At 36.8% G+C, this 14,258-nt stretch overlaps 1 protein-coding gene across 14 annotated transcripts in view; it reads right to left on the bottom strand.

The window, feature by feature from the left end:
• KDM5D (lysine demethylase 5D) overlaps positions 1–14,247 on the bottom strand; it is a 40,862-nt gene extending 26,615 nt beyond the window's left edge. For 9 of the 14 annotated variants that reach the window (XM_047442764.1, XM_005262561.4, XM_011531468.4 and 6 more), the window contains exons 1-11: positions 14,192–14,247; positions 13,906–14,074; positions 12,683–12,760; positions 11,256–11,378; positions 10,839–11,009; positions 9,049–9,183; positions 5,142–5,271; positions 4,873–5,018; positions 2,105–2,263; positions 1,567–1,686; positions 1,293–1,451 (exon numbers count right to left, since the gene is read on the bottom strand). In XM_047442764.1, coding sequence (XP_047298720.1) covers positions 1,293–1,451; positions 1,567–1,686; positions 2,105–2,263; positions 4,873–5,018; positions 5,142–5,271; positions 9,049–9,183; positions 10,839–11,009; positions 11,256–11,378; positions 12,683–12,760; positions 13,906–14,055 — 1,371 coding nt within the window. In that variant the 5' untranslated portion in view covers positions 14,056–14,074; positions 14,192–14,247. The remainder of the gene's footprint in view (positions 1–1,292; positions 1,452–1,566; positions 1,687–2,104; positions 2,264–4,872; positions 5,019–5,141; positions 5,272–9,048; positions 9,184–10,838; positions 11,010–11,255; positions 11,379–12,682; positions 12,761–13,905; positions 14,075–14,191) is intronic. The other 5 variants (XM_047442766.1, XM_047442765.1, XM_047442763.1 and 2 more) reach the window with 2 other exon arrangements.

Here is a 14,258-nt window from a genome sequence, read left to right on the forward strand (position 1 = left end):
AAGGGAATTAGAAACAGACCAAAGTTACCAATGGAGGCTATAGGTGATTGCCTTCCAATTACTTAATTTATAGTTTCAATCCCTCAGTAATTTTAACTTACTTCTATTTTAAGAACTATAACCAAACTATCTGTAAGACTTTTAAGCACTATCATACTCAGCTACACATCTCTTAACAAAAGAGGTAAATTTTGTCCTTTTTTGAACGTCATAGAGTATACTCACACAAACCAAGAAGAAACAATCTACTACATACCTACGCTATATGGTATATAACTATTGCTCCTAGGCTACAAATTAGTGCGACACTATTGTACTGAATATTATAGGCCATGTAACACAATGGTTTAAGTATCTGTGCCTCTAAACACAGAAAAGATATAGTGAAAGTACAGTATTGCTCCTTTATTAAACTCAAAATGTTATGCAGCATATGACCGACTATAAAATAGCGCTTATCCAGATACAGACATCTCCATGAACAAACAGTATATATACAGAAAAATCAGAGTAAGACTTCCTAAAAATGTTAGTCACAGCTATTAGCTAAGTTTATCCTCAAACCACTATTTTTTCTGTCTGGATCAACCCTCTTGTAAGACTAATCTATATACAATGCCAAATACTAATTCTTTTGGTTCTGGCCAACATGGTAAAACAGGAAATAGAATTAATTTCTCAAATGTTCAAATAATGCATAAGGACGGCTACATTTTAGCTTTCTCTCCCCAAATTATGTTACTTCAGGCATTATTTTTTTTGGTTCTCCACTACAGGAGAAATGTAAATGTGATGAGTCAGAATTTAGGATGGCTGTATGGGTTTCTTTGACTAATACAAGAAATCACTTTGTAATGAATGAAATCAGTGGTTTCTGCATTACTCCGTATGTTCGACATGAACACAAATTGATACACTTAACAAAGATACTTCTTTCCGCCCTTCCAAATATTTCAAAATAAGCTGGTCATAGTACTTGCTTTTCATAAAAAGATGGTAAGCTTCCAATATTTAGATTTAAGGAAAGGTGAAGGAACACTATAGCTCTTCATTGATAATATCAAGATTTATACTGTTCCTTTTATCTATCTCCATCAGAGTTTCAAGAGAAAAAAAATACGATGACTGTCCATATTCCGGTTCACTGACAGATCATGAACCAGTATCATCAAACCTCATTATTATCCGAAATATGTGAAGACAACACTGTGTGGGAGAACCTAGGAAAGTAATTTTACATGCTAAAATGAGTTTCCCTAGTTAATGTTAACATGAACTACCAACCGTATTACCTTCTCCTCAGGAGATAAGTTTTGTTTGCTATTGCTGACAGGAAAGCCACTGCCAAATTCTTTGGAATGAATATCAGCTCCATATTCAACTGTCACGTCTTCCTCAATGCTGCTCACCAGCCTCCAGAATTCCTTCTCTACAAGTTCTGTAGGCACCATCTGTGAAAACACATGTAAAAGGTTATCATAGCCCACTATACTTTGGACTCATGTCTCCATGAGAACTAAGACTACCACAACAGAATCCCTATAGTCCAGCCCTCAGATCACATACATGTACAGGCATGTTGAAGTAGTCGGACTTGAAGGAATCAGCCATTTCACCAAAACTCTGCAAACTGTACTCCTGGGTAGCCTGTTCAAATCCAAAAGCTTCAGGAGGCTGTTTACACTCCTGAAATAAAATATATTTCAGCAAGACAAAGGGAATAAAGATCCAAAAAAACAGGAGAGCTAAGGGGAGATAAATTTTTCATGTTACATTCAATATCTCATGCAATAATTCTGCATTTTCATATGTTTCCAGGTAGGTTTGTTTCTTCAGTAGGTATTAAACATTATTTTATAATCTTTCCTTACATGCTTCATGCCATTTGAATTATAGTCCCTTGCCTCTGGTTCAGTCAAGTCTCTATCATTCTAGAGTTAGTGTGTTCAATCGTTCTTGTATAGTAGCTCACTGATAGCTTAATCAAAACCTAACACAAATATTAACTTATAAAAGGGCAGAAACTACCTTCCCAAAACCCAGAAGGGGAGATTACAGAAAATCACCAACCAAAAATAAAGCATCTGTGACAGACAGATCTTACCGCCAAGATACATTTTGGGCACCTCCAGATGCCTCTGGGGATTTCAGGAAGGGGTGGTAACAAGCAGAAGATGTGGTAATTGTCATCACAGCCATCACAGAAAAGAAGCTTATCATCTTCATCCCCACGGGAGCATACTTGGCAAATATATGAGTCAATCTACCAAAAAAAAAAAAAAAGTAAAAAATTTAGCTGCTTGTTCCCTGACACCTTATCGCAGGTTTCTAGACCATTCATGAACATCTATCATTAGTCAATAACTATACAGTGTTGTATTTATGAGCTTACTACCTAGTGCAAACTATGACAGGAAATAATTACACTATAATACAGTAAGTTAATAAAGAAACCATGGGGGCAAAGTAGACTTTTTATAGAGGTTCAACGGCGTAAACAAAAATCATAAAGGTATAAAGCAGCATAGATCAGAGAATTACATAGTTAAAAATTTATCTGGCACAGAGGGCAAGTTGAACATAAAAAGGTCAAGTGACCGAATATCCAGTTATAGTTGTTCCTCTGTTGAAAAGTTTGATAGACATATACTTTCATTATAAAGGGTTATCTTAGATTAGATGATGAATTATAAATAGTCACTCAAGTAGTATGTCACAGAAGAGAAACATGAAGCAAAGGCTAAATAACTTGATTCTTACATACTATTGAAAAAAATCTAGTAATAATTACCAGTTTAAAAAGAAAACGCAGTGGTAAGATTTTTAGCAGGGTACACTTACATTTTGAAAAAATTACCTTCAATAAGTAGGATGGGCTTTTCTACAAGAATCTAGAAGTAAACTGATCAATAAAGAGAAAATTTTAAAGATAACTCAAGAGCAGAAGAAACTGTGTGAAAATATAAATATATTTTTAAATATATATACACACAAACATACACACACAAATTATATGTGTATATATACATATATACATGCATATATACACATACATATGCACGCATATACACACATGCATATGACAAATCAGAATATTTATAAACATAAGAGGCCAGGTGCGGTGGCTCAAGCTTGTAATCCCAGCACTTTGAGAGGCCAAGGTGGGCAGATTGCTTGAGCTCAGGAGTTCACGACCAGCCTGGACAACAAGGTCAAACCTCATCTCTACTAAAATAAAAAAAAAAAACTAGCAGGGTGTGGCGGCTTGCACCTATAGACCCAGCTACTTGGGAGGCTGAGGCAGAAGAATTGCTTGAACCCTGGAAGCGGAGGTTGCAGTGAGCTGAGAGCGCACCAGTGCAGTCCAGCCTGGGCGAGAGCGAGATTCCATCTCAGAAAAAAAGAAAAAAATTCAACAGAATTATCAGGAAAAGGTTTCATAAAATAAAAATCTTTTAAACTTATGAAAGATGCTCAATATAAAAAACTGTAAACCAGGGAAATGCAAATAAAAATTACAATGAAATACTACACACCTCCCAGAATGGCTAAAATGAAAACAAAACTGTCAATTCTAAGTGTTAGTGAGGACATGTGGTAACCAGAACTGGCATCCAATACTAGCTGATAAACTCGTCAATCATTTGTAAAAACAGTCTGACAATAATCCACTAGTGAAAATATACATAGTCTCAGTCACAGCAATTCTATCCTGTCTATCTAGGTAACAGAAATGTCTACATACGTTACCTAGAAACATATACTTTAATATCCACAGAATTACTTGAAATAGCCAAAAATTGGTAACTACCAAAAGTTGAATGGTAAAACAGATAGAAAAAAAGCTATGCCTAACAAAACTACACTTAATAGAACACAAGCGTGAGCATTAATAGAACCATATAAATGCATTTTTTGAACCACTAAAAGAAGAAGCCAATACAAAAGAGGTGATTAATTGAAAGTACACGAACAAGTAAAAGTAATCCAGATATTTTTGTGTATGGGTGATACACAGAAATAAAAACAAAAGCAATGGAATGAAGTTAACTACTAGCTGTAAGGGTTAGAAAGTAGTGATCAATGACTCCTACACTTCCAGACTGATGACAGCTCTACCTTGTGTCTATAAAATGCAAAACAGTGAGACAAGTGGGAACAGGACAGTGGTAGTAAACATGATCTCCCAATCATCAGGTGGAAATGACTAAGAGAAACACAGGAATTTGCAGCTCAAAACAGAAGTCTGTTTGAGAACAAAATTTCTGGAAACATCATTTACATAAAGGAAAGGCAAACAAAAATTATCAAAACAGGGTGAGATTAGCTAAAGAGTAAGGAGGAAGGTAGGAATTTTTGTCTTTTTTTTTTTCTTGTAGTGCAGACTTAAATATGTAAGACATTATAAAAATCTTCCAAGTGAGATGTAGAAAGAATAAAAGAAGATGTAAACATACAAGGGACAAAAGTAAAAGAAGATAATAGAAAACTGTCACTACTATATGAAATGTGATGATTTGAGAGTCTGGAGGAATTTGCCAAAAACAAATAAACAGCTCTTTAACATAATTTATATTGGATCACATTATCTCCTATATTAAGCTGTAAAAGTTCAGAAAATGCTAATAGAGTTGAAAAACAGAGTATAGTTTGGTGAAAAGTTCTATCTAAAAAGACATAAAAATTTTGCTTTTGACTTTAGCTATCTTGAAAACATTTCCTCCCATTTCTAGCCACCCGTCTCTTCAGATAAAAGGGCTCATAAATAAGAAGAAAGAAGGAAGAAAAAAAGAAAAGTATGATGAATTCATTTTAGGTTCAATATAATCTTGACGGTTCAAAGTAGAATATTACAAAATCATGAGTCCTTACAAACTGGGCACTGCTGTGATTCTTTCGAAGTTGCATGGTTGTCTTAGTGCAGGGCTCTAGGCTCAAGTGCTGCTTGAGCAATGTTGATGACACGTTCCCACCTCCACTTTGCTCATCCTTCACCGTAACAGTTGGGGGGCATGTGACTAGGGAAGTAAAAAACAACTATGAAACCAATCCTCTCCTGCATCAAGATTACCAAACTATTTCTCCCATGAAACTTTACTATTTTACCCCTCACACTTCCCCAATCTGTTAAAGTTCCTCACCTTTCTTATGCACAGTCTTATCCTTATCCTTAGCCATAAGGCCCAAGCCCATCATTTTGGGACCTGGCCCATATATCTGTAACTTCTTTAGCTCTGGATGCTTCTCAATGTCCTCCTCTGTAGGCTCTGGCTGTTTTAAAAAAGATTCAAACAACGAAGTTAGCTTTACTTATGCAGGTATAAATACTTTATAGGCAAGGTCTGGACAAGTCAGATGGGCTAAAATCAACTAACATCCTTTATCCATTTTTGAATGTTTATTAACCACATTTTTACTGTGAGTGTGGTATGGCCAGGTAGGAGCAAATGGATAAATTTGGAAAGTAATGAATTTCCTCAACTTTTTTCATGTTATGAAAAAAATGACAAAATAATCCAAGGCTTCCAAGGCTAGTGAAGCTTAAATGTCAGAAATTTATACCTTACAACAGAGAATTTTGTAATTAAAAATAAGCCCCCCTCTCCAACTGAGTTCAAGATGGAAACAGTTAAGACAGGAAAAATTCTATTCCATTTAAACTCATATCATTAGAATCATAACTGCTTTCAGACCACAATATAATCACAAACCTGGGAAAATGGAAACTCATTAAGTATCAAAATACAAATCATATGCCACATATATTATATACCATTTTCAGCACTTGTCTCTTCTTAGAGGACACTGTAAAATATATTTTATCATTGTTTAAAATAATTTGTTATATTTTGAAATTAAGCTCTATTACATTTTCCGTTTATTTTAAAGCTTTATTCTTACAAATTTTCTATACAGAGGTAAGTTTTCTTCTATTTACATATATAAACATACATGTATACACAGAGAGACACAGTAACATATTTTATGCTTTTTTTTTATTCCCACGGCAATTTCTGGAAGCAGAAACGTATATTGCATTACGTCTATGAGAATACATTGCTTATTATAATACTATTCCAGCAATCATTTAACTAACTTTTTAATTATACAACATTGAGGCTGTTTCCCACTTTTTGACATTCTGAAGAGCTAAGTAACTAACTGTATTAATCTAATTTTTATTTTATATACCTTATATGGTTTTGACATTTCTGGGGTACCTTGTGGGCTAGGGAGACCAGCTCTTTCAGAGCTGGCTAAACTAAACTATACCTTTACCATATAAACCAAACAATCCCGAGTCCAAACCTCTAACTATTTCCTTTATTTAACTATCATATAGAACCAGTATTTCCCCTTCTGTAAACCAACTCAGAGCCATGTACCAAAAACCTACCGGCATCCACTATGCCTCACAGATCCCTGGAATTATTCTAACAAACTAGCCAATTCTGACATTTGATTGCCCTGCCTTGCCTGTCTCACAGAAATACCAATAAAGGCTGTGACCTGTGCCTTTCACCTTACCTTTTACCTCCTGACTGATTACTGTGGCTCTGTGGGGTATGTTGTACATCTCATTTGGAAATAAACAGTCAGCAACACTAAACTTTTAGCATTGACCTCTCCATCTCACCATTACTGAATCATGTCTATAAATTAAGACTCGGGCACAAATCATTAGTACCTATGTACTTGCTGCATTATTCTTCTCAAAAGACAATTAACAGAAGTTAAGCAGGAGGATGTAAACATTTAAAATTTTAGTAACTTCAAATTTTAATTTTAATACAACCCTTCACTACTACAAAGAGTGCACACAATGCCTAGTTCCTCATATCCTTGACACATTTTGGCCATTTCCTAACCAGTTATGTGAAAGGGATATGTGGTTACTTCATATTTTCAATGTATAAGTGAGGTTAAACACTTTTGATTTATTATTCATCAGGGTTGCTGGAAAAGGAAACCTGAAAATAAGCTATGATAAAAAAGAAAAGATTCAATCAGTTTCGTGCTTCTACAACTTTTAAGCACAATATATAATTTTATACACAAAATATTGTATTATGTACATTATAGATTTTACATTAATGTTACATAGGTTGTTTCTAACCATTAAATACTTTTTAAAAGAGCTGGTATTTGCTTGTTTTAGAATAAAGTAATACCATACTACTCTACATTTCGGACAGTCTACTACCCATTCTTGAATTACAAACACACATAAAATAGAAAAGATGTGTTAGTCCTTATTTCTCCTTTCTTGCTTTATGCAGAATTTGTAACTTTTTTTTTCTTTATATTTTGGAAGTACTGTCGATTTTTGTACACTGTACAGTTTTAAATTTTGTTTTGTTTTTGACAGAGTCTTGCTCAGTCACCCAGGCTGGAGTGCAGTGGCATGATCTTGGCTCACTGCAATCTCTGTCTTCCAGGCTCAAGTGATTCTCATGTCTCAGCCTCCTGAGAAGCTAGGATTACAATTGCCTGCGACCACACCCAACTAATTTTCATATTGTTAGTAGAGATGGGGTTTCACCACATGGGTCAGGCTGTTCTCGAACTGCAGACCTCAGGTAATCCACCCAACCCAGCCTCCTAAAATTCTGGGATTACAGGCATGAGCCACTGTGCCTGGCCCAACAATTTTTAAAACCTTTCCTGCAAAATGGACAATGAACTCTCCCTGCCAAAAAAGTGTCTAAGGATCCATTTTATCTGGAAAAATGTTTAGACCTTTTACTGGTATTTACAACTTGAAACAAATTTTACTGGTTTCCTAGTTATTACATGTTCATTTTTCTTATTCAGTTTCTTCCAGACATAATTCTTACTATAAAGAACTAAAGTACTAATACAGAATCCATCTGCATTTCAATAATCTTAACTAGATAAAATTTCTCACTTTGGTCTAATTTCTAATATTACAATATCTCAAAATTTAAATATTGTTAGAATTATCCAGAAAACACCTAAAGATAACACAGCATTGCCTTATTTAAGGTATTTCAGAAATAAAAACATCCAAATCTTATGAAAATGTTGCATATGGAGCAGTGAAAACACACTTATATAAAAGTTATTAAAAATATATTGTTTGTATTTTCATTTTCTGAATATTATGATGTTTTAACATCTTAAATCTTTCTGGTTATGACAGATTGTCCTCCCAGGGTTAGCTACTCCTACAAATACCAAATGGCTCACCCAGGAGTATGACTTTAATGTGTCTTTAATATGTTCACTGACAAATCCAAAGCTAATCCTTATCTATTCAGCCCATACAATTCATGAGGCAAAGTTCCTCTGCTTTAATTCTAGGGTCAGGCAACTAGGGAATACTGCTGTAGCCTAGAGCCTGCCAAAATTATTCAAACTAGCCAATCCCATACTTCTTATCCTGCTCTGTCTTGCCTTTCCCTTGGTAAACCCAATATAGGCTATGGCCTAGGTGCTTTTCTTATTCCTGCTTCTTCTGCATATCCAAGATAGGTTTTCCTCTCTAGCACTGTGTAGCATATAGTGACTACCTCTCTAAGGCCTGTGATAATAATAAACTTTGCTTTCCTGAGTCTCTGTGGTCACACCTACTGACCATCACATGGAAGACCATAGAATAGAACAAACAGTTAACAATAACTGATTTGTACAGTGTGCTTTGCAAAAATCGTTCCAAGATTCACAGAAATTAACAATACCTTATAACCGGGCATGATGGCTAACCTCTGTAACCCCAGCTACTCCAAAGGCTGTAGAGGGAGAATCACTTAAGCCTAGGAGTTCGAGAATAGCCTAGCAACACAGCAAGACCCCATCACTTAAAACAATAGCAATATGTTTTAAAATTTATAAAAGCAAAACTACAAAGACAAAATATTATAAACCAGACCTATGAACAAAATAATTAATAATTCATTTCAATTAATTTTATCCTGAACCAGACATATGTAAAACAATGCATTCAGCAATGAATTTTCCCCAATATCAAGGTCTAGATGAACCTTCTCAGCTATAGGAAGAATAACAGGAGTAACAGTCACTCACATCAGGCTGTAGCCTTTTTGCCCGTCGACTGTAGCTGCTGAACTTTGAAGGCTGCACAGACTGTCTAAGGGGGATGCTGTGGGGCTTGTATTCCTTATCTTTTACCTCATTGTCAAACGGGTGTGTGTTACATTGCTAGAGAGAAAAAAATATATAGAATCAGAAATTGAGTCATATTTGTAATAAGTGATTCCTTCATTTACAACTCTAGCAAATAAAGCTGTAGTTCTTTCTAAATTACACAGGTCCACTCCTCTTGTTCTTTGGATAGAGCACATATCCTGACAATTTTCGTGCCTCTGCTTATGAATGAGCATCACAGAATATGAAAGAACATGGTCTTTGGACTGTATTGATATCAATCTGGGTTTTTACTCTTATTCTCTGTGTGCTTTCAGCAAACATACTGAACTTCTCTCTTTGTGCTTCAATTTCCTGGATGAAAAACAAGTAATAAAAATACTCAATCTGGGTGTGGTGGCTTAAGCCTATAATTCCAGAACTTTGGGAGGTCGAGGCAGGTGGATCATGGGGTCAAGAGATCAAGACCATTCTGGCCAAATGGTGAAACCCTGTCTCGGTAAAATACAAAAGTTAGTAGAGCCTGGGTGACAGAGTGAGACTGTCTCAAAAAACAAAACAAAACAAAAATACTGAATCTTTAGAATTATGTACGCTAAGTGAAACATGTTTATAAACATAAATACACAGTTTTTATAAAATATTTTAAAGTTTTACGGATAATAAAACCTAAAAACTGGCCAGTCGTGGTGGCTCATGCCTGTAATCCCAACACTTTGGAAGGCTGAGTCAGGTAGATCACGAGGTCAAAGGATCGAGACTATCCTGGCCAACATGGTGAAACCCCATCTCTACGAAAAATACAAAAATGAGTGGGCATAGTCACGCGCCTGTAGCCCCAGCTACTCAGGAGGCTGAGGCAGGAGAATCACTTCAATCCAGGAGGTGGAGGCCGCCTGGCCAGAGTGATAAGCTGCCTCAAAAACAAAACAAACAAACAAACAAACAAAAACAATTAACTTATTATGTAAAATTACCCTGCTAAATCAGTTTCCACACCCTGAGTTAAACCCAAGTCACACCAAGCTTTTAACCTAAACTATCTTCAAGTGAACCAGCCTCATGAAAGCTTAGGAACACCATTATCTTTTTCAGCCAGGCATGGTGGCTCCCGTCTGTAATCCCAGCACTTTGGGAGGCCGAGGCAGGCAGATCACAAGGTTAGGAGATCAAGACCATCCTAGCTAACATGGTGAAACCATGTCTCTACTAAAAACACAAAAAAATTAGCCAGGCGTGGTGGCAGGCCCCTGTAGTCCCAGCTACTTGGGAGGCTGAAGCAGAAGAATGGCGTGAACCCGGGAGGAGCTTGTAGTGAGCCAAGATCCTGCCACTGCACTCCAGCCTGGGCAACACAGCAACACTCCATTTCAAAAAAAAAGATTATCTTTTTCATGTAAGATACTTAAAATAGGAAATGGTTTCCTCTAACTTCTAGTTTAAGATCTTCTCCATAAAAAGATCTTAGTAAACATCAACCTCATAAGATAGAAAGGTTACTCTAGTTCTTACTTATGTATAGCAGGAATAAAACTATGCCACATAAAGAGGCTGCAAAGTATTTTCTAGGGCCAATTCCTGGAACATCTTCACTCTAGAGATTTAGAATCTATAGACCCTGACTACTCAAGAGAAAAGTCCAATCCAAAGAAAAAATACAAAAGAAAACAAAATCACATCAGGCCACAAACCAGTTTAAGGGCCCTCACCACATGGTTGGCTCCAGACTGAAACATTTCATAGGGGTAAATAATGCGTTCGTAATGTGATCGTAGCAGGGAGCCAATGTTTTTGCCTGGTGGGTAGTGGAGACGCTGGGCAACTCGAGCCCACCGACGATCCTTGCAGATGGCTTCATAGCCACCTTCCTCAATCACAATCTGAAAGTATAAGAAACAATATGGATGAACTGTGAACAGACTGGAAAGGGCTACCAACACAACAATGAGACTTGAATATGGGGGGCTGTGCCCTTCCCCCAACACCAATCATTGCAAGACTCAAAGATTACGTCAAGAAACGCTGCCAGGCTCTGTGTTCTTTCCTTTCCTGCCTATTGTTTCTACCACAGAAGATCCTTGAGGCAAGGCTTTTTGTTTTTCCTTTAGAAAGTAGACTACTCTTACCTTACTAAGGCTGTAGAGGTCCAAGATCTTCCGCTCCACATTGGGAATCTTTAAAGAGGAGCCTTGAATTTCCCAGAATTTTGCAATCTGATCCAAATAGTTCAATTTCACTCTAGTTTGGGCCTGGGAAAGAGAGGGCCTTATAAGATTGGCATACTCCTTAACCTGACTTCATCGAGTATGCAGTAAATGAACAAGTATTATTCTATGCTATCTACACTTCTCCACCAACGTGCCGGAGCCCCAGCTTCACTGTCTTATCTCACCAGCGGGGTCCACAAAAAGCTCAAATAAGCTGAGTCTTTAATCTATAAAGAGCTAAGAATGTGCCGTCTTAGGATCAACATCATGTCTAAATTTAAGGAATTATTCTTGGACTTAAAGGTGGCTTGACCAAAAATATGTAGGCTCCAACAGTATTTAGACTCAATATCATCAAGACACTCATTTAGAATGTACTGATATATAATTCAAAGAATTAAAATATTTTTCTAGTTCATGTAAAAGAGCTGGACACAAAACCAGTTTCTGAATCACTGCTTTCTTACTCTAACTCATACACAGCTTCTAGCTACTGATCATAGTCAAAATCCTAAGAGTAAAAGAAAATGACAAATCATTCATATACTTTCTATATTGAATACTAAACTGTGAAGACTGAGTTGACTGCTTTAAAGAGCAAGTTTGCCTCTGACATTTTATTAAAGCAGAACATATGTAATACCATCACTCTGTTGCTGGATATTTAAAAGATCCTATTTCTTGTCTGAACTCTGCTTCTGTTAAAGAACTAAAAAAAATTTAGTCACACTGGGTGCAGGGGCTTACGCCGGTAACCCCAGCACTTTAGGAGGCCAAGGCAGGCTGATCACCTAACGTTTGGAGTTGGAGACCAGCATGACCAAATCGGTGAAACTCCATCTCTACTAAAAATACAAAAATTAGCTGAGCCTGCTGGTGTGCACCTGTAATCCCAGCTACTTGAGAGGCTGAGGCAAGAGAATCCCTTGAACCTGGAAGGTGGAGGTTGCAGTGAGGCGAGATCCCGCCACTGCACTCCAGCCTGGTAGACAGGGTGAGACTCTGTTTCAAAAAAAAAAATTCATTCATTAAATATGTGAGTACGAGAAGACAAAATGGGAAAGGTACTGTCATTTTGATAGTTCTAACCTGAAACTATTGAACAGCGAAACAATGCATCATTCTTCCTCAGATATTTAAAGCCTTTGTGTTCTACCATTTTTGTGGACATAAATTATGTATTTTATAGAAGACTTTCTCCAAAATCAGTATTCTGGAAAATGGTGGAGTTCGGGTTCAAATTCAATACATTAGATTTCAAAACTTAAGTTCTACATTATTATGAAACTACAACGGCAAGATTAAAGATCAGATTCCTTTAAAAAAAGTGTGCCTCCCAATCTTACCTCCAGTTCATTTAGCCTTTGGACGCGAGGAGTAAATCTGAAATTGTCAACTTCTACTGCAAAAGGAGGCTGCCAATCCTAGAAGAAAGTGTAAGGACCTGGTAACTATGGCACAGTAAAGGATGAAGATAGTGAAAACCACAATCATTTGTTCCCACTCTTTTAAAGTCTTCTGGTAACCATTTTTGTACACAAGGGCCTCAAATGATTCCTTCTTCATAATCAAGATTAACTGCAAAAAAAAAAAAAAAAGGAAAAACCCTGCAAATCCAAAACTCTCCTTGATATGTGTCCTTCGTAACAGACGAAAAAAAAAAAAAAAACCTCTATAATCCCAAGGCTAGAAAGCGACTCGACTTCCAAGGAATGACGCACATCTGAACAAACACTATGCTATTTGGGTTATGAGTCCTTACTAAAATGAAGATAAATGTAATGCAGATAAAAAATTGTTTCACTTTTTAAAACCTAAGCCATTATCTCTTCCCACTCCCAGCAGTACGAAAAAGTTTAATTGCAAATGCTGAGAAGTGCGAACATCCACATAAAAATAACGTTGCAGCCTGGTTCAATATATGAGAAAAAAGCTGTATGCTCTGCGAAAACTTTTTGACTTCTCTGAATATTGTGTTAGTTGTTCACGACGACAGCCCAGGCTTATTTCAGTTTACATTCTTAATTCAGTCAAACTTCTACGAGGTTCATTTAGTAGTTTTCAGTATAGCAACCCAAAATGGTCTACGTTTAATAATAAATTTAATTGATGGCAAAGGATGCCACATCACTCCCATTATTTGCTATATTTGCTACATACATCTAAGGTCATATCAAAGAAAGAAAACACCAGTCCAAGTGGTTAACACACAAGCTTATATAACTTGCTTCTGTCATAGATCAAGTACTTCTGAGTAAGCTATTTTTTTGCGGTTAAATGTAATAAAAGCTTGTGTATGCCTAAACTATATTTAATAACAGCAGAACGTAGAAATATTTGAATCTTATATTTTTGTCCCTACAGCAGTCAGATGTTTAGAACCCCGTGGAATGTGGCGATCTGATACTAATATTCTGATGCCAGCTTGTTCGGGTCAGAAAAGTTAAATGAGAAATTTGGTGCTAAGGGTTTCTGGTCATGAGTGTAAATAACGCCTCGCCAAGTGGTAAACTGCCCCAACGTTCAAACCAAAGGCTACCCATTCCCAAATTTTGTTTCAAAGACTTACCGCGGGTGGGCGGATTTTGCAGATGCCAGACTTCTCTGCTATGGGCCTTATTTTCGCAATGTAGCCAAGCGGGTCTTGGAATTCAGCCCAGCTAGGCTCAAAAACCGGGCACTCCGGTGGCGGCAGGAACTCGTCACACCCCGGTTCCATGTCGGGCCTTAATGCTAAGCTGTAAAATAAGAATCACATTGTCTTTAATGACGCGCTGGTTCCTCCTACTAAAAGGCCTATGAAAATTTCATTTTCTTGAGAATTTCAAGGTTACTTTAATCCCGTAGCTGCTTACCAATCGTCAGGGATCCTAGTTTTACAGCCACCATCTTGACCTCCGGGCCCTGCAGTGTGGTACGAGC

The sequence above is a fragment of the Homo sapiens genome, chromosome Y, assembly GCF_000001405.40.
Source record: "Homo sapiens chromosome Y, GRCh38.p14 Primary Assembly".
NCBI classification, from domain to species: Eukaryota; Metazoa; Chordata; class Mammalia; order Primates; family Hominidae; genus Homo; species Homo sapiens.